The sequence below is a fragment of the Homo sapiens genome, chromosome 3 (genome assembly GCF_000001405.40).
Source record: "Homo sapiens chromosome 3, GRCh38.p14 Primary Assembly".
NCBI lineage: Eukaryota > Metazoa > Chordata > Mammalia > Primates > Hominidae > Homo > Homo sapiens.
In genome coordinates this window covers 64,186,880-64,214,578 of record NC_000003.12, presented here as the reverse complement: position 1 = coordinate 64,214,578, position 27,699 = coordinate 64,186,880, and the positions used below count along the sequence as shown (strand labels likewise).

The following is a 27,699-nucleotide window of genomic DNA, read 5'->3' as shown; positions in this document are numbered from 1 at the left end:
AGTTGTAGCTCAGAACAAAACCACAAAAACCTTTCCATAGATCCAGCTCAAATCAGGGAAATCAGCATCTCACTTTTGCTGCCTGTCCCTCCTGTAGAAAACCCTGAGAATTTTGTTTGTTTTGTTTCTTTCTTCGGACTTGACTAAAGCCAGGTCTCTCCTGAAAATAATGTCTTTCCCTGTTGTGTCTAACTCAATCTGAATTGAGGGGCTTTACATCCAGCATTGGTGTCTGGTAAACCTCCAATCGCTCGATTCTCTTGTTTCGCAAGTCCACTGGGGTCGTCCGGAGCCTCTGGCCTCCTTTGCTGAGCAACATGGATTTCTGGGAAGTTTTTCCCTCCAGCACTTCAGCACAGATATTAAAGGGCCCCTGTCAAGTTTTGAAGGGTGTGACCATTGCCAGAATCACCACAAGCCAAGCCCCTGAGGGATTCCGCTGCCAGCTGGCTCACGTCCATACCAGAGATGGCTGAATTTCTGTGGTTCTCTGTGCATGGAGCTGGCCCAGTTCCCCTGGATGAAAGGCGGCCTAATATAAACTGAAAATGTTATTAATAAGCAGCCACTTAAGAATTTCCTATGACTTGCCAGTGATTTGGGGGCCTCTCTGTGAACAGGGGAAAAAGCACATCTTGTTTTACATGGATTAAGGGACCAGTGCAGCCAGTCTGGAGGGGCTGCCAAAAGGTATTCAGGTGTTTGGTGAAGGGCTTTGGGTAAGTTCCACAAACTCGTTGAGCCTTGGTTGTCCTATCTGTAACATGAGAAGGATAACAATAATTTTCTTCTCATAGTGTGGTTTGAGGATTAATAAGAAAAGCGTGGAAAGCGTTTGACACAGAGCTTGGCACATACTCAGAAAATGTTTTCTGAAAAAAGTTGGAGAAATCACACCCCCAAAATGAAGCCAAACTGACCTTATGCCCCTGGGCTCAGGGGAAAATGAGTAAACTTGGGGTTCCAGATACCTCCAGCATTCAGTAGTAACCACAGTACTTGGCTTCTCTGAACTTCACTTTCTTCATCTATAAAGAACCCCTGCTCTTCTGACTAACCTTGTAGAGATTATTGGCAATTCAAAAGTTACATGAAATGAAAGGGCTTGGTAACTCTAAAGTCCTTGATTCATCCGACAGGTCATTAATTTACTGTCTAACCTGTCTGCCTTATTGCAACTTGGTATGAAAAGAAAGTCATGGCCGGGCACGGTGGCTCACCCCTTTAATCCCAACACTTTGGGAGGCCAAGGCGGGTGGATTACCTGAGGTCAGGAGTTCGAGACCAGCCGGGCCAACATGGTGAAACCCCATCTCTATGAGATATAAAAAATTAGCTGGGCATGGTGGCACATGCCTGTAATCTCAGCTAGATGGTGGAAGGCTGAGGCAGGAGAATTGCTTGAACCCGGGAAGCGGAGGTTGCAGTGAGCCGAGATTGCGCCATTGCACTCCAGCTTGGGCAACAAAAGAAAAATTCCATCTCAAAAAAAAAAAAAAAAGAACAAAAAACAGTCATTAGTATGACCTTGAAGGATTAAAAACTTGGTCAAGGATACATAATCCTTTGGTAGGGATAATAATGAAATTACCTTGCTCAGTCCAGCACACCTTTAAGTGTACACTAAGGATTTGCTAAGATTTATCAAAATGAATTGTTCACCACCCGTCTGTTTTCCATTGATCTCTTTCCATCCTAGCTGGAAATAGATTAGTAGGGTCTAGGTTGACTTCTAGAGAACAAGAACCCTAAATACTTTTGTTTGTTTGTTTGTTTGACTTTGTATCCCTAGACATAGGGTAGGACCTAGCACACTGGCACATAGTCAAGTTTCATTATACCAAGAATGTTGTATATATTAAGTTGTTAAATCCTAGTGGCAACTCAGTGAAGTTAGGATTTGAGCCCAAGTTATGGTAACCACAGAATCTAAGATCCTAACCCACTGTGGTATACTGCCTTTAAGTACTTAGGGAATATTTTATGCCTCAGATCTTGTCTGTATAAGTTTAGCCAACCTCGTCCACAAAGAAGGTAGAGACTAAACAAGTACTTCAGCAGGTGGCATGGAAGAGAAAAGCAAACGAAGAGGTGTTTTGTGGAGTCTTCTGATCCTTGCCTTGAAGTTTGGAGATGAGGTGTGTTAGAATTCAGTTTTCATTCATTTCCTCAGAAATTGGTCCCCCAAAGGATTTATCTGGAAAGGAGGGGCTCTTAGAACTTGCTCTGATAAATGTCCAATGAAGCAAAAGTGTGCATGCCATAAAATCACAGGTGGCATGTAGACAAAGTGAAGTGGAGAAATATATCTAGAAGGAGTAACCAACTCTATCTACCATGGTTTATTCTTTGCAGAACAGCAGGTCTGACAGGCAGCTGAGGAAATCGGAGCTTTTCTAGATACCCCACAGCCTTGCACAGGGATACAGTGATGTGGGGATGCAGGTAGTAGTGTTGCCATGGAGACACCATCAGTGGCCAAGCTCTTCTCCTTTGAGGGCTCACTCCGTCTACTCATCACGAAGTTGAATTAGCTCTCTATGTGCTTGGTAGGCAGATTCCTCACTGGCTTGTGAACGCTTTTAAAATAAAGCCAAAACTCCTTCCCAGCTGCCATCTTGTTACCATCCTAGACTCCTGTCAACATCTCAGTGACAGCATGTTCTCTCCCCCTGCCATGACTTTATTCACCTGTTAGGACTACTTTTTCATTATCTTTTTTCCTAGAAACCTCTCCTACTCAGTAACCTTTGGGTCCAGCTTCCTCAAGCAGGCCTTCCCTGATCTGTTGTTAACCAGGAACCTTCTGTAGCACAGTGGCTAACACATTAATGATGGCCTAACAAAAGAGTCGCAGTACCAACCACTTTCTTTGTTTTAAAACTTTTTATTTTGTAAAATTGCAAGGTTAGATCAAAGTTACAAGAATAGTATAACAAACTCCCAAACACCCTTCTAGATTTTTCTGTTAATATTTTGCCACATTTGTGCTGCTTATTCTCTCCCTCTGTTCCTCTCTCTTTCCACACACACAGGCATATACACATATCATTTTTGTTGAACCATCTGAGAATAAATTGCAAACATCATCCCTTATCTGTATACATTTCAGCATCTTTCTCTTCAGAACAAGAACATTCTTTTAAATATCTTTTTCACAAGAACTCTCCACTTTGAAATTTATGGTCTAGCTATTTCTGGCTGTATCATTGTGTCAGATAGAAACTCCTTTTTATTTTTTTAACTCCTTGCAACACCTACCACAATGCATGGTACACAGTAAATTTTCAGTGAATTATTGTTTAATAAATGAAGTTGACTGCCACAAGTATTTCGGCATTGCCTCTGTTCCGCCTTTTGGACTCATGGTTCCTGCTTCTGTAGAAACTCTACCTTGTTGGTTGAGCCTGCTTGTCTTGCCTGTGGGAGAGGGCAAAGAGCACCAAGGAGTGGTCTTCAACCAATGGCTGTTGAGAGTTGGTTGATAAGTACCCCTACTTCCTTGACTCTCAAGGGGAATGTATCTGAGGAATGTTCTGTACTGTCTCCCAGAGGTCCTCAGCTGAAATGAGTTCTGGTTGCTCAAAGCTGCTACCTGTTCATTAACTTACACTCTATTGGCATCCTACCCTTCCCCACTTTCATTCTTCTGTTCCCTGTCAGGCCTTTTTGGGATCTTCTCCCACAAGATTCAGATACCTTCCAAGAGTCTGATTCTGGGGAAAACCAATCTAAGATACTGCCCCTCAATGACTGAGGCATCATTTCTGCAAATCAAAATACAGTAAGAGATCTTTAAATTATATGTTTCCAAGCAAAGTCACCCAGGAGGCTTATTTTTAAAAGGGAAGGAATTTCCACTGCTCAAAAGTTACAAGATAAATTAGTCTAAAGTAAGGCACTGCATATAATTCTTCATTGAAGCATGAATTGGCATATTAAAAAGAGGAAACAACTGCCCCTGAAAATTACCCTGTACCAACTTCAGCAACCCCTGGGAGAGAGAAGCACTTCTTGGTGCAGATGGCCAGAGCCGCTGGAGCCCAGCCGGAAGGGAGGGAGTTGGATAGGACCAGGCAGTGTGGTCTTGGCACTCAGCACACACCAGCCTCATACCCAGCTGGCCCCGTCACAGTCTCCGCCCTTGAGCTTCTGTGTTTATTAGGAAACCATTTTTCCTTTCTCACAGAGATAGAAATCTTGCTCCCAGACATGGCAAGTGTCAAGGTTCATGCCTGGGTCCCTCATTCAGACTGAGTGTTTGCCAAAAAAGGGGAAAAACAAAGTATTGTGGCTAGGGGCAGGGAGTTAAGGAGCCAGTAAGACTGCAAATAACAGGATATGCTGACGTCTGGGTATCAAGACAGAGGGATATAGAAATTCCAAGGAGAAACGGGTTAGGGAGGACGCGAAGTTTCCTACACCCACTAAAATGGCACCGTCCCCTGAATTTCACATCTGTGCTTGGGCTTTGGGACAGGCAGTGGCCCAGCCAGTTTGGTCACTGTCATTAATCTAGACAGTGGTGGAGGAGGAGGGAGGCCACAATATCACCTTCTGAGAATGACTCACACAGTGCTCTTCCCCACCTCAGGACCTGTGTGCTCACTTCTTCTCTGCCGGGAAAACTCGTACTCTGATTTTTCTCATATCTGCCTCATAGTCTTCTCATCACAACTCAAATGTCACTTCAGTGGGAGGCCCGTCCTCACCCATCCTCAGTTCCTCTCTTTCTGATTTCCCTATTTCTGTCATAACACTTATCACAATCTGTAAATGGCAGGTTTATCTGTTTGTTTACTTAACTGTTGAGTGTCTTCCTCACTTGGTTCAAAGCTCCACGAAGGCAGGCATGTTGTCTGTCTTAATGACTGTCGTGTGCCCAGCATCTTAGTGCAGTGCCTAACACACAGTAGCTGCTCAGTCAATGTTGGTGGGTGAGTGGGTGGGCAGTTGGTTGGTTGGTAGGTTGGTTGGCTGGATGGATAGGTATGGATGTATGTATGGATATGAATGGATGGATAGATGGGTGGATGGATGGATAGATGTGGATGTATTTACAGATATGAATGGATGGATAGATGGATAGATATAGTTGTATGTATGGATATGAATGGATGGGTAGATGGATTGATAGATATGGATGTATTTATGGATATGAATGAATGGATAGATGGGTGGATGGATGGATGGGTAGATATGGATGTATGTACGGATATAAATGAATGGATAGATAGGTGGATGGATAGATAAATATGGATGTATGTATGGACATGAATGGATGGATAGATGGGTGGATAGGTGGATAGATATGGCTGTATTTATGGGTATGAATGAATGGATAGATGGGTGAATGGATGGATAGATATGGATGTATTTATGGGATGTATGTATGGATATGAATGGATCGATAGATGGGTGGATAGGTGGATAGATGTGTATGTATGTATGGATATGAATGAATAGATGGGTGGATGGATGGATAGATATGTATGTATTTAAGGATATGAATGAATGGATAGACAGGTGGATGGATGGATAGATATGGATGTATTTATGGGATGTATGTATGGATATGAATGAATAGATAGATGGGTGGATGGATGGATAGATATGGATGTATGTTCGGATATGAATGGATGGATAGATGGGTGGATGGATGGACAGGTAGATGGATGGATATGGATGGAATAAGAGAAGGAATATTTTGACACTGTACCTAAAACAAGGTAGGAGAAAGCACTGGTTTTAGAGTCAGATGACATAGGTCCTTAACTTCAGTCAAGTCACTTATGAGTTTATCAGCTAAATTTTTATATCTGTGAAATGGATAAAAATGCCAACTTTATAGGACTGCTGAGAGAGAAATGAGATAAATTAAGTGAAAATTATTGAATATTATAAACCTTCACAAGTATGAGCAGTTGTGTTAACAGTAGAACATAGCTGCTCTGTTCACCCCTCACCTGCCATCCTCAGTCAAAGCACAGGTTGAGCTAGAGCAACAGGAGTCAGAGCCTGGAGGTCACACCTGCCACCTGGAGGCCTTGATCTTTTGGAGCAGATTTTTACCTCTTGGAACATTCCCATTTGATTTCAGGCCAGCCTCTACGAATATATTTTCTTCCTTCCTTTCTGGCGTTCTGACTCTCCGCTTACCCCTTTTGCGAGGGATGTATAAGGTAGGAGCTGAAGCCCTGTGTGGGGGTCACATGATCCATACAGTTCTTGAGGAGCGTTGCTTGTGCTTTTTGTGATAGCTCAATTTTAACAACTCTGACCTGTTCAAGGCAGGATTATCTCAGCAATATCTTAGGGCAGGCAGACCTTGCTTCCAGTTCTTACAGACTCAGTGAAACACAACCGGGGAATGCCTTTCTTGCTAACAACAGCCACTGTCCTTTCATTTGCTTACCTTTTCTAGGCAGCCTGCAGTCTAGAAAAAGCTCTCTTTACCCAGACACCTAATTCCCTCCTAAAACCTGACGGAGGTGTTACTAAAGGGCAGTACACTTGAGAAGAATGTTTGGTTCATTTTAGGCTGGTGTTGTGCGTGCATGTGAAGAGTTGATGCTTTCATTGGAAACTCAGGGAAAATGGGCTACAGAGCAGATGGAGTAAGTCAGGCCGCTGCCCAGCTCCTCCTGCGTCAGCCTTTCCCAGAGATCTATTATATGGTTTGAAGTGATGTAAGTTATCGCAGCATTGGAGGTTATATGACTAGCGTACAAAGACACAATTCAAAGCCAAGTCTTAGTGGTTTTAAATTATCCGTGCCGCATCTCTCTCCACTTGCACAGAAAATTGCAAGTTGATAGCTAGTGAAATCTGGTTGTCAGATTTTTTTTTTATCGAAGGGACCTAACTTTTAACTCTGTGATACCCGTAAGTATATGTTATATGTAATTCCCACGTTGGAGGTATCTTTTACATTACATAAGTGGATTGTTGATCCTGCTGCAGGGCACCAGTTCAGAACAGACCCGCTTATCTGGATTGAATAATGCACATCTATTTGCTGAGAGTGTTGTGTGTGCATGTGTGGGTGGCTCTGGCTCATGTCTTGTCGTTACCGGCCAGAGTCTTATCCCCTGGCTCTGGCTGATGAGGAACACGTAGAATGAAGTCTGGTCTCCAGTTTCTTAACACTAAGGGAAAAGAGGACCAGCAGCTGTTTCTGTTTAATGGTGATTATCTTTGGGATTGTGAGTGTTTTGAAAATTTTTTACTCTTACTTCTTATCTGTAGTTTCTGATTTTTTCTACATTAGTTGTATAGTTGTATATTGCTTTTTAAGGATAAGGAAGTAATAACTTTATAATAAGTATAATAAGGAGGAAAATGTTTTCCTCTTTTTTTCTTATTAAGAATGAAAAGAGAGCTGGGCACAGTGACTCATGCCTGTAATCCCAGCACTTTGGAAGGCTGAGTCAGGAGGATTGCTTGAGCCCAGGAGTTCGAGACCAGCCTGGGTAACATGGTGAAACCTCATATCTACAACAAATACAAAAATTAGCTGGGCATTGTGGCATGTGCCTTTAGTCCCAGCTTCTCAGGAGGCTGAGATGGGAGGATTGCTTGAGCCCAGGAGGTCGAGGCTGCAGTGAGCCATGATCACACCACTGCCCTCCAGCCTGGGTGACAGAGCAGACCCTGTCTCAAAAAAATGTGTTCTTTTGCCTTTAGTGAGCTAGAGTCATGGAAGAATTTAAATACCTAGGATACATCTGTTATTTAGCAAAAAGCAATGGAGAGCTTTGGGTTATTTTAGCCCTTGTTTTAAACAAAAGTGTGTTTTCCCACCTCTGGCCTTGCCTGCCTTGGGCATAGCCATGTTGAATCCTATGTTGTGCATTCCTTGTCAGTCACTTGGTTTGTACTGGGGCTGAACCACTCTTTAAGCAGTCTGCCCCTTGTCCCTGTGCATGAAAGTGGCCTGAACCTGATCTAGCCATGGACTTGGGACAGAGGAGCCCACACCACAGGGGAGGTGGAAGTCAAGACAGATGGCAGGGCTAGCAACAAGAGACACTATTCTCATGTCTGATGTAGTCTTGCCTTTCACCAGTGCCTTTTCACACCCCACTGGGTACCCAGCTGAGTGGCAGGAGGGCCTAGTGATGCAAGAGGTTAAGACATGGTGGCAAGGAAGGGCTGGCATAGATTCTTTGGGACAGTTTGAAAATGTACATTGCCCAGAGTTGCTGAGACCATCGATTATATTGGTAAAACCCACACCTGTTTTTAAACCACACTCTACGGCACTCCTTTCTGACTAGGAGGCTACTACAGAAGAGTGGCCTTGAGCTGTGCTTGGAGGACCGGCTGCATCACAATCACCAGGCACACTGGTGAAAATGCACATTCCTGAGCCTGCCTCAGACCTATCCAATTATAGTCACTGGGACATCCTACTATTCCCCATGCATCTCCATGTAATGTCTTGGCAACCAGATATACAGTTTCTCACAACTAGAATTATTATTTATCTAAGAGTTTCATGATTAGGAATTATTTATTTCTTAAAAGCCGTTAATAGCCTCTATATTTTTTCTTCTTTCCATCTAGCAAATTACCAAGCACCTACTTCATATTTTGGCACATGCTAGAAATGACTTCGTGGAGTCTAGGAAATATGGTGGTTTTTAGCCTTGTGGCTTTGGAACCTTGAGAATTTCAAGGCCATGAATGTGCCTGGAGTTTGGGGAGGAGGTTGAGCTTAGGAGAAGTTGGGCTCATAGTCTTCTTCTCCACATCAACTTGGGCAGCCCTGTTTTCTGTTTTGAGTTTCCACTTATGAATTCTTTTACAAAATGTATTTTCCTCTTATTAAGAAGCGGGGGGGAATAAAAGAAACAGAAAAGTAAAAAACAGGCTTAATGATGTTTGCAATCCCATTCGAATCTCAATTTCTACAATTTGCTACTTGAACTTGTCAAAAATCATGTTCTAAAGGAAGATCCCTTTTTTGCCTTCATCCTATCACTTCTCACATAAAACAAGACCTTGTGGTTCAGGGTTCGGTGTTGTAAATAACCTGTCAAAATCTCAAGGATAAGTATTCCTGCCACCAACCCTGTCCCCAGTCTACTCATGATGAATCCTTTCAAGTAATGGCAGGCAAGTTAATTGGTATAGATTGTTAGTCATTTTCCAAATGATAACGGCCACTGGTGCAGATGACCAAGCTACTTGGAGATAGTTAAAGAGAGGGTCTCCGCCTGACAATACTGTGTATGCCATGAAAGGGCTAATTATGGCTGCTGAGATACGGAAGCCATGATTTAATGCTGCAACTTTGGGGTAGAGGATTTGCAGAGGTTGTTTTGGGGTAGAGGAGAATGCAGAATCTCCTCTCTCTAAATCATGCCTTATTCCTCAGAAACCTGTCATTCACAAACCCAATTATGTGCAGATAGAATGTCAACTCTGACAGAATGAAGCCAATGCACCCTTTGTATGTTTTTTTTTTTTTTTAACGAAATCCTGCTTTGCTAGCAGGTTCTATTTTCATAAATGTCTATTTAAAAAAAAAGCCAAATCATATATTTCCCCACACACTTCCGAATATGTTTCATTCAGGTTAAAAGCTTTAATCAGTGTGTTGAAAGAGAGCTGTTGGGTGTTGCTGTGTGCATTTTGCCAAAGGGGGAGAGATGCAGGAATGAAGAGAAATCCTCTTAGCATCACTTCTGACCCTCTGCCCCCTTCTGAGGGTCTGGGCCTTGGGTTCCCAATTTATACATGGAGGTTATTAAATTAGCCATTACCAAAGGTTGTCATGGAATCACTCAAAGGTTGAAAATTCTTTACAAAGAAAAATGTCTTGCCACGGGAGTGCCAGTTAATTATAAATGAGAAGTGGAAGGCGGGCAGCTAGCATGGAAAACAGATAAGGTCCTTGTGGCTTTGAGTTACTATTTAGGGTTTTGGTTTTTTTTTTCCTTTTCTTCCCCCCTCCTTGGTTTTGCTTTTGCGTGTGTGTGAGGTTTTTTGTTGTTGTTGTTGTTGTTGTTCAGAAGTAAAAGGGTATTCTGTGGTTGGAATCAGATAGATTTTCTATAAGTAACTTTTTGCTTCAGTGGTCAGTTAGAGCCTACTTTGAGTCCATGTTCTGCTCACTATTTAGGGTTGATCAACTGCTCTGAATAGTTCAGTTGCTTAACTGCTTACAAGCCACTTAACCACTCTGGGCCTTTGTTTTCTTCCGTGGGAAGTGGAGATAATATTTCCTTTCCTGGAGGACTGATGGAAGAGTCTAGGATCATGTATGTAAGGTATAAAGCAACTTAAATGCCAGGCATATGGCTCGGTATATGTCCCCTCCCCATCCTGACCTCCCATATCCTGCTTCTTTCTGGTTTTCAGTAGCACTTGCTGCCTTTAACATACTTTGTGATTGAAAGGCTTGTTATGTGTATTGTATGTTTCTCCCCTCTGAGAACGTAGGCCAAGAGGGCAGGGATCTTTGTCTTGGTTGGGTACCCAAGTACCTAGAGCAGGCCTTGGTACGTGGTAAGTGCTTGATAGTTATTTGGGTTTTTGTTGTTGTTGTTGTTGTTTTGTTTTTGTTTTAGAGTGTATGTGTGTGTGTGTGTGTTGAGACAGCATCTCGCTCTGTCACCCAGGCTGGAGTGTAGTGATGCGATCTGGGCTCACTGCAACCTCCACCTCCTGGGTTCAAGCGGTTCTCGTGCCTCCACCTCCTGAGTAGCTGGGACTACAAGTGCCCACCACCATGCCCAGCTGATGTTTTTTTTTTTTTGTATTTTTAGTGGAGACATGGTTTCACCATTTGGCCAGGCTGGTCTCGAACTCCTGGCCTCAAGTGATCCATCCACCTCGAGTTATTTGTTGAATGACCACATGGGGCCTCAGCCCTCCCCATCGTCTCTTTTCTGTTTATCCTTCTACTTGTCGATGCTCATTCTGGATCTGATTCTGCACTCCTCCTTTGTTTTCTTGTTATCTTTATTCCTTCTCCTGGATCCTCAGTTCGTTAAATCATGTCCATCCGGCATTAGTGTGCTCTTCCCTGCATAATTAGTATGTGAATAAATGAGTTTAATTGGTGGATATTTTGGGACTGAATTTGGTAAAAGTTTTCTACATTTTGATGTTCAAGTATGACTTTCTAGTAAAAAGCATTAGTCACCAAAGAGCTTAGTCAACTTACTTAAACACATTGAAACTTGTTTTTCCTTAAGTCATAAACTGGCATAAAAATTTCTTGGAGAAATAAACTGACTGCTTCCCAACAGACCTGACCATTGTGCAGTAGCTGATTAATTAAAGAGTTACTATTCAAATGAGCTCTGACTATTTTTAAAAGCAACAACCAGGGTTTGGATGGAACTTCTTTGAGTTGGAGATGCAAACGAGATCCAAGGTGTGCATTCTGTCTGGTGTATATTTCTGATTTGATGAGAAGCAGAAAGTGGGGGAATCTGACAAGCCAAAATCAGTTTGGTTAGACTAAACTGATTTCGTTTCTTCAAGTACATTTTTATGTTGAAATTTAGGCACAACACATTAATAGAATAAAGACATAAAATAACTAATCATCTTGATAGATGCAGAAAATGCATTTGACAAACTCCAACACCCTTTTGTGGTAAAAACAACAAACTAGCATAGAAGAGAACTTCCTCTACCTGATAAAGAGCATGTACAAATAACTCATGGCTAACATAATACTTAATGCTGAAAGACTGGTGCTTTCCCTTAAGATCAAGAACACAACAAAGATGTCCACCCTTGCTACTTCTGTTGAACATTGTACTGGAGGTTCTAACCAGGGCAATAAGATATGATAAAGAAATAAAAGACATCAGATTAAAAAGGAAAAAGTAAAACTCTCTATTTGCACATGATATGGTCTTATATATAGAAAATTCTAAAGAATACACACACACACACACACACACACACACGCACACAAGTACCTAAACTAATACAACTAATAAATGATTTTAGCAAGATTGTATGATTTAACATCAATATAAATATCATTTATGTTTCTATACAATAACTACCTGAAAGTGAAATTGAGAACAATTCTAATTACAGTAGCATCAAAAAGAATAAAATACTTAAGAATAAACTTAAAAGAAGTGCAAGCCTTGTGCCTAAAAACCACAAAATATAATTGAAAGAAATTAGATTGAAGTAAATGGAAAGGTAGCCTGTGTTCATGGATTGGCAGACTTAATATCATTAAAATGGCAATACTCTTCAGATTAATAAATTGATCTACAAAGTCAGTGTATCTCTATCAAAACTCTAGTTGGCTTTTTTTTGCACAAATTGACAAACTAATCCTAAAATTCATATTTTATGAATGCAAATGCAAGGGATGAAGAAGAGCCAAAACAGTTTTTTAAGAGAAGAACAAAAATTGCTTGACTCATATATACTTCATGATTTTAAAACTTACCGCAGAACTGCAGTCATCCAGACAGTGTGGTACTGGCACAAGGAGGGACATACAGACCACTGGAATAGAACTGAATGTCCAGAATAAACTCTTACAGCTATGGTCAGTAGATTTTTTGACAAGGGTACCAAGACAATTCAATGGGAAAGATTATTCTTTTCAATAAATAGTGCTGAAAGAACTGGATAGCCACATGAGAATGAAGGTGGACTCCTACTTAGTGCCATATACAAAAATTAACTCAAAATGGACCATAGACCTAAATGTAAGAGCCAAAGCCATAAATCTCTTAAATTAAAATGTAAGAATACATCTTTATGACCGTGAGTTATGCAATGGCTTCTTAGAAATGATTAAAAAAACAAAAGCAACAGCAACAACAACAAAATTAGACTTCATAAAAATTAAAAACTTTTGTGCTCAACAGATGTCATCAAGAAAGTGAAAAGACAGTCCACAAAATGGAAGAAAAAATGTTCCTATCACATATCTGATAAAGGACTTGTATCCAGAAAATATGTGAAGAAAGCTTATAACTCAACAATTAGAACACAACCCAATGAAAAAAAATGGACTAAGGATTTGTATAGACATGTCTCTATTCTAAGAAGATACATAATAAGCACATAAAAAGATATTCAACATCATTAGACGTTAGGGAAATGCAAATCAAAACCACAATTAAATACTGTTTTATACCCACTATAGTAGCTACAATAAAAGAAGACAGACAATAACAAATGTGACAAGAATATGGAGAAAATGGAACACTCATTCATCAGTGGTGGGAATGTACAAAGGTACAGATATTTTGTGAAAACAATTTGGGAGTTCCTCAAAATGTTAAATCTAAAGTTGCCACATGACCTAGCAATTTCATTTCTAGGAATATACCCAAAAGAATTAAAAACTTTGGCCAGGCGTGGTGGCTCATGCCTGTAATCCTAGCACTTTGGGAGGCCGAGGCAGGCGGATCACGAGGTCAGGAGATCAAGACCATCCTGGCTAATATGGTGAAACCCGGTCTCTACTAAAAATACAAAAAATTAGCTAGGCATGGTGGCAGGCACCTGTAGTCCCAGCTACTCGGGAGGCTGAGGCATGAGAATGGCACGAACCCAGGAGGTGGAGCTTGCAGTGAGCCGAGATCGTGCCACTGCACTCCAGTCTGGGCGACAGAGCAAGACTCCATCTCAAAAAAAAAAAAAAAAATTAAAAACATATATCCGACTGAGGGCAGTGGCTCATGCCTGTAATCCCAGCACTTTGGGAGGCTGACGCGGGTGGATCATGAGGTCAGGAGTTCAAGACCAGCCTGGCCAACATGGTGAAACCCCGTCTCTACTAAAAATACAAAAATTAGCTGGGCGTGGTGGTGCATGCCTGTAGTCCCAGCTACTCAGGAGGCCAAGGCAGGAGAATTGCTTGAACCTGGGCGGCCAGAGGTTGCAGTGAGCTGAGATGGCACCACTGCACTCCAGCCTGGGCGACAGAGTGAGACTCTGTCTCAGAAAAAAAAAAAGCCAGGCGTGGTGGCATGCCCCTGTGTGGTCCCAGCTACTTGGGAGGCTAAGACAGGAGGATCGCTTGAGCCCAGGAGGTCAAGGCTGCTGTGAGCCGTGATTGCATCACTGCACTCCATCCTGGGAAACAATGAGAACCTGTCTCAAAAAACAAAACAAAACAAAACAAATATCCACACAAAAAATTATACATAAGTAATCAGAGCATCATTATTCATAAAAGCCATAGGTGAAAATAGTCCAAATGTGCACAACTGATCAATGAAAATGTGGTATATCTATACAATGGCATATTATTCAACAATAAAAGGGGATGAAGGATTGATACATGCTATAACTTGGATTAACCTTGAAAAGTCATTCTGTGTGAAAGAAGCCAACTTCAAAAGAACCACATATTATATGATTGCATTTATATGAAATGTCCAAAATAGGCAAAACCATAGAGACAGAAAATAGATTAGTGGTTGTTAGAGCCTGGGGGCAGAGGGATATGGGAAATAACTGCCAATGCTCCTGGGGTTTCTTTTGGGGAGGGGATGAAAATTAGATAGTGATGATTCACAATTCCGAATGTATTAAGAGTCCATGAATTGTACACTTTGAAATGGTGAGTTTTATGGTTTGTACATTGTATCTTCACAAAGCTGTTATCAGAACGTTCAGGCACATCTGGGGATTAAAATTCTGGGCTCTTTTATCACCTTTATAAGGTGCTACGGAAACTAATAATTTTAAAAAGAGTGAACATGGAATAACTTATTTCCTTAAAATTTTCCTCCTCTATTCTTTTTTTCTCTCTTTTTATTTTATTGGTGGAAGCTAGAAATGCTTTTGTGTTGCTGACATCAACATATTTATTGCTTCATCATTTCTGTAGCTATGGATAAGAGAACAGATGGTAACCTTAAAAGAGAAATGTTCAGTTTGGGAGATTTTTATCTTTGGCTGCTACCTTTTGAAATAATTCACATGCATGATCTTCTTGTATATAAAAAACCCCACCAACATAGGGAAAATTTGGGTTTCTAATTAGAATTCCAAACCTACAGGGATCTTTAATGGAGGTGAAATTGTCTTTCCTATGAGATCTTAGGGCCAGATACGTTTCATGAGAAAAAATATGTATGTTTGCTCTTCTTCTTAAAGAACATTTTACCTGCATTTTTAAAACCATTTTCTCCATTTTCCAGGGCTTAGGAACCTTTTATAAAAGCAGTATGTTGTCAGTATTTGTTAAATCTACAAGTAACACTTCAGGTCAACATATGTATTATGTATATTTAATTGCTATTGCAGTCAAGGAAATTGTGGTCATGGGCCATATCCAGTGGTCTACCTAGTAAAATAAAAACTATATTACCATTCCTCTTGGGGTATTGATTTAGAAGAGAAGGCTGGGGTCCACATGTAAACACCCTTAGCATGCTTACCTGGTGGCCTCTGACCTTTCATGCTGTTTTCACATGCGTGTACCACGCCCTCTGCAAAGACAGTCATGTTCTGGAACACTGCTCGCGATGCCTTTGCCCGATGCCCATTGCCAAGGAATGTGTTTATGGTTTGGGATCCAGGGGCTAGTGACTGGCAGGCTCTTGGAAAAAAAAAAAGGTTTTTTCCTCTTTCTCACCTTCTACCTTTACTGCCTGCAGGAAGATCTGCCTGCACTGCAAGTGTCCCCAGGAGGAGCACATGGTGACAGTGATGCCGCTGGAGATGGAGAAGACCATCAGCAAACTCATGTTTGACTTTCAGAGGAACTCGACCTCAGATGATGACTCAGGCTGTGCTTTGGAAGAGTATGCCTGGGTCCCGCCGGGTCTGAAGCCTGAACAGGTACCATTCTGGATGGGAGCATGCTGGTGGTTTGGGTGTTTCACTTTGCCTTACTGGTCCTTCCTCATTCCAGTTCTGTAGGAAGAGTAGACTTTGCTGATTCAGAGAAGTGGTAGGGCTAAATATGTTGAAGATGCCAGGGGCCCCAGTGGAAAATGAGGAAGGGAAATGAAATTGAGCCAGGAGTGATCCATTGCTAATTCATTCTGTATTGTCATTATTAACTGTTACCAGGATTGTCTAGAAACATCTCAGAGGTGTACCACATTTTTCTCAGTGAAATACAGCCTCTTGTATTTCTTGGTACTTCAAATTTTCTCCTCTACCAGCCCCATGTTGTTTAAGAAGCTCTTTTATAAGCTGGGTATTTTCATGATGTTTCCTGTGAGAATCTGAAGTGCCAGAATCTGAAGTGTTTGACCACTGTTGACTTCCTCTGACACATAAAATTTCTTTCTCAGGACATCTTCTCTATGTCCAACAAAAACGTTTTAAAGTTTAAACAGCCCTTGAAATTTTTTTTGTTTTATTTATTTATTTATTTATTTATTTATTTATTTATTTATTTATTTTAGATAGAGTCTCGCTCTGTCGCCCAGGCTGGAGTGCAGTGGCGCGATCTTGGCTCACTGCAAGCTCTGCCTCCCGGGTTCACGCCATTCTCCTGCCTTAGCCTCCCGAGTAGCTGGGACTACAGGCACCCGCCACCACCCCTGGCTAATTTTCTTGTATTTTTAGTAGAGATGGGGTTTCACCATGATAGCCAGGATGGTCTCGATCTCCTGACCTCGTGATCCGTCCGTGTTGGCCTCCCAAAGTGCTGGGATTACAGGCGTGAGCCACCACACCCGGCCATCAGCCCTTGAAATTTTAACTTGGAAACTTTAGGTGTGATAATGCTTTTAGGGAAAATTCTTTTTTTTTTTAACTTTATTTTCAGTTCATGGGTACATGTGCAAGTTTGTCACACAGGTAGACTGGTGTCATGGGAGTTTGTTGTACAGATTATTTCATCACCCAGATATTAAGCCTAGTACCCATTAGTTATTTTTCCTGACCCTCTCCCTCCTCCCAGCCTTCACTCTGTGGTAGGGCCCAGTGTGTGTTGTTCCCCACTATGTGTCCATGTGTTCTCATCATTTAGCTCCCACTGCATGAGAACATGCAGTATTTGGTTTTGTTTCTCCATTAGTTTGCTAAGGGTAATGGCCTCCAACTCTGTGCATGTTCCTCCAAAGGATATGATCTTGTACTTTTTTATGGCTGCATAGTATTCTATTGTGTGTATGAGTCTAATATGTAGACTCTATAAGGAACTCAAACAAATTTACAAGAAAAACCAAACAATCCCATTAAAAAGTGGGCAAAGGTCATGAACAGATACTTAAAGGAACGCTTATACATTGTTGGTGGGAGCGTAAATGAGTTCGGCCATTGTGGAAGACAGTGTGACAATTCCTCAAAGACCTAAAAACGTTAATACCATTTGACCCAGCAATCCCATTACTGGTTACATACCCAAAGGAATATAAATCATTCTATTGTAAAGACACATGCACACGTATGTTCATTGCAGCACTATTCATAATAGTAAAGACATGGCATGAGCCTAAATGCCCATCAATGACAGACCGGATAGAGAAAATTATTTATAATAAAGAAGAACCCAAGAATTCACTCATAACTTAAGAGTAGTGATACTAATATAAACTCATTGATTAGCCATTGCTCATTTTCTTCTAATTTTGAAGTTGCAAATTGGCAGATGAAATCAGGGACACGGTAGGATTTGTTTAGCCAGCAAGGTATTGTTTTAAAATTTAATTAGCTACTAATACTTCAAAATTAGAGATTTTTTCATGTAAAAGTTTATGTCTTGAAATTTTGAAGATCTGGAATCTCATTCCTGTAAGGATATAATTGGTTGGAGTTGAGTGATGGCCATTCCTTTTAGACAAAACAAAACTTGATTATACCGAATCATCCGAGTCTCTACAAAGTCCTTTTTATTCTTTTGTGTTACCTTCCTGAAACCTACAGGCACTTCCGTTTTGTGATCTCTGTTCTAATTCTCACTACAGGGGAGAAAATGTCTTAGAATAGAAACACTCCCAGAAAATAATCTCCATGAGAATTGAAGGCAATTCTCTGTTGGGTTATTAACAGGAAGAAATGAGTGCTTTCTCCCAGTCTGTGAGTTGAGGTTATATCTTCTGTTTTAGTAAAGATTTTATTATTAAATAATTAGTTTAAGAAGAACGAGAGTGTTTGATTGAGTTTGTTTAGACACTCAGAGAGGGTAGTGGCTGACCGCATAACTTTGTTTGACATTGCCATTCTACCACCAGTACTTGAACAGTGTGTTTTCATACCTAGATACACCAGTGAGCTTGTTTCATTTTCTTGCTAACCTTATTTCCAACAACTTCTGCTTTAAGCAGCCCATCTTTCTTTTGTTTACCTGAAGGATGTTGCTTCTTGCTAAATTGGGCTCTGAATTTTCCAAAGTTAAGCTTTTGTCAGTTTCCTGCTTAAATAGAGTTTTCTCTAAGACCATTAAACGTCATTCCCTGAAATGCAGATTCAGAGAAAACGTTCTACTCATATTGACCCAAGAAAAAAGACAATTGCAGAAGCTAGGGTTTTGATTAAATTTATGATTTCAAAAGTGAGTGCTAATGGTATTTTTGGAGGTCCCTTGACTCATCCAAAATGAATGTCTTTGGGAAGCATAAATCTGAAATGTCTTTGATTTGTTTTGAAAGAAAGTCATTAGTGCCATTGAACAAGTGGTTTGAATTATGTCAAATGAAAGGGTAGTCCTATCTCTAATAATTCTGTTGTTCTTTGGATGGTTTTCCCTATTTCCTACACTTACTCAAATCTTTATGACACAGATGATTAGAAAAGGAAATAGCTCTGCAGAGAGAGACAATCTTCTCAAGTTATTTTAAGAATTCTATAGCGCCTAATAAAATATGCATCTATATTAATGGTGTTTGAAGGGGTCATATTGCATGTAAGAAATGGGCTTCAAATTTGTAAATTGGAAGATCTTTTAAAGTCTATTACGTATAGCACTGTTTATGAATTTAAAGGTTTTTTTTTAGAAAGCTGTATAGTATGCTGTAAGAAAAAATTGAGTTCCTAAATGCCGTTCACTAATAAAAATTCTGATGTTTAATATCATATTAGCTGTCTGAGAAAGTCTATTTTTCTATCAAGAGAAATTATAGTGAGTGTAAAAATGCTTTGTCCTGGAGGCAAAAATATTAAAGACCAGTTAGGGTTGAGAGTAATGTACTTTCATTTTTGTTAGAAACCTTTCATTTCACTCCCAGGTCGTAGGTTGGTAATATACCTTCAGGTGATACTCTTTATTATTTTATTTCTCCTGAGAAATGCCTTCAATTGAATATAATGTAAACGAAAGTCCCCTCCCTTTTAGGGAAGTGTTCTCGAATACGGACATTTAATTTCATAAAAATGCACTAGCTGTAAAACCCAGCCTTTTAAAAATAGTGGGAAAATAATAAATATAACAGATGATGCCAGAAAGGAAAGGCATTTATCTTGTGATCTCTAATGACTGAACTGAAAACTGATCAGAGAAGTTGTTCAGATCCTTTGCCTCTGCTCACTCCAAATAAGGGGTTTAATGGTAGCAGAACAGAGGGCTGGAATATGCCCCTAGTTGATCATCTGAAGTCTTTTTTACTTTTTTGTTTATTTTTATTTTTTTAAGAGACAGGGTTTTGCTGCCACCCAGGCTGGAGGGCAGTGGTACGATCATAGCTCACTGCAACCTTGAACTCCTGGGCTCAAGGGAATCCTCTTGTCTCAGTCCTAAGTAGCTGGGACTGCAGGCACATGCTGCCACACCCAGCTAATTTTTGTATTTTTTGTACAGAAGGGGGTCTCACTATGTTGCCCAGGCTGGTCTTGAACTCCTGACCTCAAGCAATGCTCCCAAAGTGCTGAGATTACAGGATGGGCCACCACGCCTGGTCTGAAGACATTCTTAAGGCTTCAATTTCATTTCAAACTCAAACAGTGAATAGTGTATACCGTATCTCTTTGAGGTGCTAGGATGATACATTTACAGTAGATAATATTAAAATAGGAACTTAGAAAATAATTAACAAGCTATAAGAAGGGCAGATGATGAAGAGGATTTCTCAGCCTCAGCACTGTTGACATTTTGGACAGGATAATTCTTTTCTGTGGTGACTGTCCTCTGCATTGTGTAGGATGCTTAGCAGCATCCTTGGCCTCTACCCACTGGATACCAAAAGCACTTCCCATTTGAGGTAACCAAACATGTCTCCAGACGTTACCCAATGTTCCTGGGGAATAGGAGGATCACTGGGTGGAAGTGATGTTAAAAACTGGAGGACATCTCAGCAGAATTCTGGCCCAATCAAGACAAAAAAGGATGACTCAATTTAGCAAACATTTATTGAGCACCTACCATGCTCTAGTTCCAGCTTAGAACAGTTGTTGCCTTGTAATATGGTCGAGTATTCAGCAGAGTGAAAAAGTGGGGATCCCACGTTGCTTGAGCAGATCCCTGAGGCAGATCCTGCCATCTTCACTAAATCAAAATGAGAATTGGAGCTGCATGACCAGCTGGCTGTGGAGGGTCAGCTTTTTGTTCTCTAAACCAAAAAGAACTTTTTCCTCTTTTATAAAAGGGAGACTTGTTCATTAAAAAAGAAAAGAAAAAATGTGAGACATCCAGGAAAGCAAATAAAAATCACTCACAATTCCACCAACCAAGGAAAATTGTGTTTCAACCTTTTTGCCTGTGCATTAGTCTGTTTTCACACTACTGATAAAGACATACCCAAGACTGGACAATTTACAAAGGAAAGAGATTTAACTGGACTTACAGTTCCACATGGCTGGGGAAGTCTCACAGTGATGGCAGAAAGCAAGGAGGAGCAAGTCATGTCTTACATGGACGGCAGCAAGCAAAGAGAGCTTTTGCAGGAAAACTCCTCCTTATAGTAACCATCAGATCTCGTGAGACTTACTATCACGAGGCCATCATGGGAAAGACCTGCCCCAATGATTCAATTACCTCCCACTGGGTACCTCCCACAACACATGGGAATGCAGGATGAGATTTGGGTGGGGACACAGCCAAACCATATCAGCCTGTATATTCAAGTTTCTATGTGTGTAGGAGTATATTTCTGCTTTGATTTGGACAAAAATGTGATGACGCTCTCCACTTATCTTGAGCTGTCTTTTCTAGGCCTTATATTGTGAACATTTTTCTGCATCAGTATATTTCGATCTGGATTATCCTTTGTAATGGTTCGATAGTTTTCTATTGGTAGGTTCTAACCTGGAGTGGTACCACTGCCTCTAGAGGGCATTTGGAAATGTATGTTTGGGAGAGGGCAATTACTGTCTAAATGACTAGGGGACTCCACTAGCCTATGCATGGGTCCTTGAGATGCTAAGCATCCCAAAAAGTACCAGATGATCCTGTGCAAAGGAGAATGGACCCATCTCAAATGCCAAGATACCATCATTGAGCACCATGGAGCTGAGGGTTTAGTTTTGACCACTTGCATTTATTGGCAGCTTTCCTCTATATTACAAGACAGCAGCAGCTAACCTTATGCATTTTATACATGTGCCTGCTCCTTTCCATAAGCGTAATTTCTGGAGGTGTAGTGGTCATGTGTAAGCTTCTCTAAGGTTTTAGATTCATGATGCTACACCACTCTCCAGGAAGATCATAACTGGTATGTCTTGTGGGTGGATAGCTTTCATTGGATGCAAGTGGATTTTATATTAGTTCTCGTCCTTGCTGCTCCATGAAACTCTGAAGAGGCCATCAGATTGTTTCTCCTGAGTGGATGTCTTTTTCATTGATGTTTTGGATGCTCCCAAGTGTTCATGGAGGGTACTTAAATATGAATATCTCCAAAGGTTAGTAATTTTACCTTGACCATAACTATGTTTTAGCACAGAATAAGTTGCAATTAGATTCATCATCCAGAACACTCAACTCTCACTTCAAACTGTCGCAGGAAGGATGAAGGGTAGATACCAAGTGTGACTGCCTAGTTTTTGGCTTTCCAAAGCATTGTCTCATAAGTGGTAAAATAGAACATCCAGTACTACCCAGAGACAGGGGTGAATTAGTTGGATTTGAGCCTTGTAAAGCTGTAAAATATCTCTTTTGGGAGTGTATAAAATTCTTTATTTGGCTTTTATTTTAGTGACTATTACTCATCCATCAGGTGTCAGATTAAATGTATCTCCTCAAAGAACTACTTTGGCTGGCCCCTAATACAAGATTAGGTCCTCAGTTACATGCTTTGTAGCAAACCCTGCAATTTTTGTTATTAACACTTATAAAACTTGTAATTAGATACTTATTGGTATAATTATTTATTTAATGTTTGGCTTCCCTACTTTCCTTTAAGGCCCAGGAGGGCAGGAATCTTGCATGCTTTCTTGTTTCGGAATCCTCCCAGCACCTAGCATAGTGCCTGACACATGGCCAGCACCCAGCAAACATCTGTTAAGAGATAGGCCAACGGCAGGGGTCCTCTGTAGAACCAGAAATGTTCAGGTCGCATCACACTGAAGAGATAAAAGCCTTTGGCATTATTTTCGACATAAAGGGTTATTCCATATCAATTATTTCTGTTCCCTCGGCTGCTCCTAAAGATTTGTATTCTAAGCAGATTCCCCTGAACATCCCAATTGCTTCAGAGTTTGCTTAGGTTGCAAAAGGCCAGAGAGGGTGACATCTTGCCAACGGCTGCATTTAGCAAACCTGAGGCAGCTCCACCAGCTCCAAGTCTCTGGGTCTGGAGCAGGGTGGGAGGAGCAGTGGGTCTGGCAGAAGCCCACTGTGTATCCAAACCCAGGCACCATTTATGTCCCCATCCGAATCTCGGGAGCCCAGTGGGAGCCATGGCATGAGGAGGAAACAGCCTGGTCCAGTGGGAAGAGCCTTGCTTCCGGAATCAGGCAAATCTCTCTACTACTCCACTACTTTCTGACCACAGTAAAGTTGTTAAATCTCTGGGACCCTCAGTTTCCTCTTGATGAAGATGACAATGATGATGGAAAAGTAATTAAACTCTCATTGAACACTTGCTATGGACCCACCATCCTTTTAAACACTTTGCATGCATTGTCTCATTTAATACTCAACCAACATTATTTAGTAATTACTCTTCCTGTCTTCACCGTAGGGTGAGTAAAGCAAGGCTCAGAGGAGTTAAATAACTTGCCCAAGATCACACAGCTAATGAGTAGCAGAGACAGATATAATCTCAGACAACCTGACTTTGGAGCCGGTACTATTAGACCTGGAGATCACAGGGCTGATCTGGCCATGGATGAGAGAGTGCTTATAATGCTCCTGGCCCTCTGTCTGCACGTAGAAGTTGCTCAATAAGTCAGTTGTTTCCTTCCCATCTTTCTTGTGAAATAGTAGTATGTGACTAACTAATTACTATTGCCCTGAGTCAGCTCAAAGAGGAGCAGAAGGAACGTTTGGCTTCCGGGAAAGAGGGAGGTTACGTGGAGATGGAGAAGGCGGATTAAGCATAGGGTTTGTAGCAATCCTAGAGTCCTTCTCAGCCTTCTCAAAAGGTTTTCATAAGGTAATTTTGAATTCTGCCAATATGGGAACCTTTCTGTTTCCCAGGCCTTCTGCTGTGGGATTGTTATAAAGATACAAGTTCGTCCCAGTGGAGTTCTCTGGCTCTGTGGAGCCTGTGGAAGTTATTCAGGGCCCCAGATGGAGCCTCTTGATTCTGAATCCTCTAATGCCCCAAGCAGGCTTTGGGATTATCTGCTGAAGTACTGAGCTCTGCCACCCACCTTCCTTGGTGCCTGAGATCTCCTGCAGCCTCACAGTCCTCAGACCTGGGAGGAATGAGTCCTTGGGGAATTTTCTGTAGGCTTCTCAGAGTGCAAAGGGAGTCTTCCCACAAAGAATATTCTACACATCTCTCTTAGGGGATCAACAGGTCAGCAGAGGCTCCTTGATTTGGCCTCTCTGCCAGTTGGAACCTTGTTAGTACCTGTCTGTAATGGTTTGGCTATGGGCTTCTTGGCAGCATTCCACTTGATTTTCCCCATGAGAGTCCAAGGAATAAATCAGAGAGCATGCTAGAAAATTGGGTGAAAAGGAAATGGCCATTGGGCTTTTTCTGTTCACTCATTCACCTATTTAAGGATATTTATTTTATACCTACTATGTGTCAGGCAGTGTTCTGGGCGCTGGGGACAAAACAGTAAACAAGAGACTTAAGGTTTCTACTGCACTGTAGTTATGTGAAGAGTAAAGACAAATAATTAGAAAACAAATAAGTAAGATAATTTCAGGTTGTGATTTTTTTTAAAAAAACATAGTGATGTTAAGAATAGGATTGTAAATATTTAGAAAACTCTTACATGTGTCAGATATTTTCCTGGGTGCTTTACAAGTTGCTTCTCACTTAATGTATCCTATAAAAACAAAACAAAACAAAACAAAAAAACAGCTTCAGAGATCATTGATGTGGAGCAGGGTGCTGGGGGGATTGGCTAATTTAGCCCGATGGGTCAGGTCCGGCGTCTCTGGGGAGGCAGTATTTGAGCTGTTACTGAAGAAGCCTACTATGCAGAGATCTCATTTGTTACAGAAGTTAACGTATTCATTTGAGTGAAACTCAGAAGTGAAATAAAATCAGTACCAACTTTGTGCACAAAGAATTTGGGGAGAGTGTTGGCAGACTGGGGAGACACGAATGGAGCCCATGCAGTGCTCGGTGCTTGCCAAGACATCCCTGGACATGAAGGCAGGACAGTCCAACTACCTTGCTTGCCCCTGGAAAATTGGAGGCACTTAATCATCCATCCCCTTGATGTTTCTGCCCCAGGTGCACATAGGGCAACAGAGAGCCCCCATTTGACTACAGAGGTGACATCTTCCATATGTTAAATTCATAGCTAGTACTCTACTTACATTTATTTATGTCCATACTACCTTCCAAAATGTGAGTCTGTTAGAGACGGACATTGTCTTATTCACCACTCTATGCTCAGTACCAAAAATAATGCTGGGCACATGCTAGCCATTTAATAAACAGGGTTTGCGTGAATAAACAGTCCCATTTAATCCTTGGTACAAAATCTTCTATTTCTCCATTGAAATCATTGAGGCTCACAGGATCAGAAACTTGACCAAGATGCCGCAGTCAGCGAGGGACAAAGACAGCACTTGAACCAGCCATTTGTCTGACTCTAGTGCCCGTGTGGGCTTTTCCTCCTCCACCCCTTCCTCATGCACAGTGAAGAGCATGCACATTGCTCCACTCAGGGAATCAGATCCAAGAAAGCAGACTTGGTGTGAGTTGGAGGAGGGGAACAGCATGAGTCACACAGTCTCTTTCATTCTTAGGGATGGGAAATTTCTCCTAATCTGAGGTTGACCTTAGTGACTAAGGAATTCATCTTTTCCCCACCTCCAGTTTCCCCACCACTGCAGGAAGCAGCATGGCCCTGCTTCAAAGATTTGTTTCCCTATCGACAATCTCTGTTTATCCTTATCTCTTCTCACTCTCTTACCCTGGCTTTACTGTACTTCCTCCAGGGGCTCTCATGTTACTGGTACAGACAGCGTCACGTACCTGGGCACTCAATAGTGACATTCATTCAGCAAATATTTTTTGAGTGCCAACTATATGGCAAGTACTTTCCTAGGCACTAGGGGACAGCTGTGAATAGAAAAGCAAGTACTTCTGCCTTTGTGGAGCTGACAGTTTAGTGAAGGATGCAGACAACTTAATAGCTGAATAACAAGACACATTCAGAGACCGACGTCTATTAACAAAGCAATAAGAAAGGGTGATATGATCTGGAGCAAGGAGTTGACAGGCTTTGTCTGTAAAGATCTAGATAGTAAATATAGGCTTCATGGATTGTACAGTCTCAGTGGCAAATACCCAACTCTGATGTTGTAATGTGAAAGCAGGCATTGGACAATAGGTGAACAAATGGGCATGGTCATGTGACAATAAAACTTTACTTACAAAAACAGGAAGGGGGCCTGATTTGAAACACAGACCCCTGATTTAGAGAATCTATCTACTTTATATTGGATGGCTAAGAGAAGCCTCTCTGCAGAAGTGACATTTGAGCTGGGACTTTACATGGAATGATGGCTTGATTACCCAGATTTGGTCTGCCTCGTCCCGTGGTTTTCAAAACGAGGTTCCCATACCAGTAGCACTAGTATCACCTGGGAACTTGTTAAATGTAGACTCTTGGGACTTGCCCCAGACCAAATAAACCAGAACTCTGAAGATGGAGCCCAACAATCTGTTTCAACAAAGCTTTTAGGTGTTTCTCATGCATGACAAAGCTTGAGAGCCATTACTGTTGGCTAATGGAAAAGCCACATTGCTAGGAATAGATGAGGCCACATCTAGACTCCATCACTTAACTCTGTAACCTTGGGCATCTCAAGCATCAGTTTTCTTAGCTGTAACACGGGGATGCTTCTGCCCAAGTCTAAAGTAGCTAACAGAGAAGAAGTGAATTCATCTTTGTAAGGATCCTAGGACAAAGCAGACACCAAATAGGTCCTCAGCAAATGGTAGCTGCTGTCCTCATCAGAATCATTATTTGAATCTCCAAGACACTGAAGCAGATTTGCGTGCAGATACGGATGAAGGGTGTGCCCCAGAAGCTACCCAATCCCATTCCTGTCTTTTTGCCTTTGACTGGCATGCCCTGGATATCACCCAAATACAAGGCTGATTGTTAAAGGAAAACTCAAGATGCTTTTAAAAGTCTTTCATTGGCCCTGTTTCTTCAGCTCCCTTTCTGGCCTGTTAACCTAGAGCATGCGCTGATACCTTTTACTGCAGGACCGTGAATTATACAGCTGTGACTCACCACCACCCGGCTGGGGCCACAGTGCCAGGCGTCCAGCTTTACCGTTAGCTTTCAGGCTACTGACAGTTTGCTCTTTTATGTGAGAAGCTATTTATACCAGGAGGGACAAAGGCTGGCAGATGCTGGGGGAAGGGAGAGAAGAATGATAAAATGGTTCATCTCCCAAGGTCTGCTGGGTGGTTTTGGCTTATAGGAAAGGAATGCACAATCTAATAGCCCTTCTAAAACCCCCATAAAAACCATCATTAGACTCACCAGCCATTTGCAGAGTGTTGTCTTTATTTCATTACTCCATCAGCACATGCTGAGATCAAAATGGAATTTCATGGTACAGGGAGATGCATGTCTCTCCAACTGAATTGGATTAAATTCCCCCTAAGCTGCATCTCCTAGTTAGCCTTCACTGTCACTCACCTCGGTGTTTTCAATGCAGTTTGAGAGATGAGTTGGGAAGGGAGGGAAGAAGGGGGCAGGGCAGGAGGAGGCTTCAGAGCAGTCCACCTCACTCTTCTTGGGAAGCTAGTCACATGAACAATGCTGTATTTATCTTGGCTCCAGAAATACACTGATGTCATCAGATGGCAATGGGAAATATGCCTGTGTGTGCAGCTTTCACTAAAACTGCCTGTTAATAAACTTGTTTTCAACGGAGCTGTCAGAGTTGGGACTAGAACCTGGGTTCCCAGGCTTCAGGGCCTCTGCCAGATGAAGTCAGCAGCAACACGGCCAGATTCCACCAGCAGGGACTTGTCAAGGCTTGCGTGCAGATTATGAGGCCTAGAAAGGCCAAGGCTCATTTGCAAATGCAGGATGAGAGACCTGCCATTGGAGTTCTAGCTTTCAAGACAGGTATCTCCAACCTTTACAGTAAATTCACTCTGGGGTCCTAAAGTTTGGGACTTGGCCTCTTACTTAGACTTCCTGCATAAATTCACAGCTGCACACCCTTTCTGCTGACTGGGCAGTCTACACTGTAGCCTG

At 41.6% G+C, this 27,699-nt stretch overlaps 1 protein-coding gene and 1 long non-coding RNA gene across 3 annotated transcripts in view; one reads left to right on the top strand and one right to left on the bottom strand.

Moving 5' to 3' along the window:
* Positions 1-27,699, top strand: part of PRICKLE2 (prickle planar cell polarity protein 2) — a 175,938-nt gene that overhangs the window by 53,595 nt on the left and 94,644 nt on the right. For both annotated transcript variants that reach the window (NM_001370528.1, NM_198859.4), the window contains exon 2: positions 15,612-15,795. In NM_001370528.1, the coding sequence (NP_001357457.1) occupies positions 15,652-15,795 (144 nt within the window). In that variant the 5' untranslated portion in view covers positions 15,612-15,651. The remainder of the gene's footprint in view (positions 1-15,611; positions 15,796-27,699) is intronic.
* On the bottom strand, positions 13,018-27,035 carry PRICKLE2-AS3 (PRICKLE2 antisense RNA 3). Its single transcript, NR_046702.1, has 4 exons — positions 26,974-27,035; positions 24,232-24,285; positions 20,267-20,389; positions 13,018-15,870 (listed from the first exon to the last, which is right to left on the bottom strand). It is a non-coding gene; the product is annotated as a PRICKLE2 antisense RNA 3 (long non-coding RNA).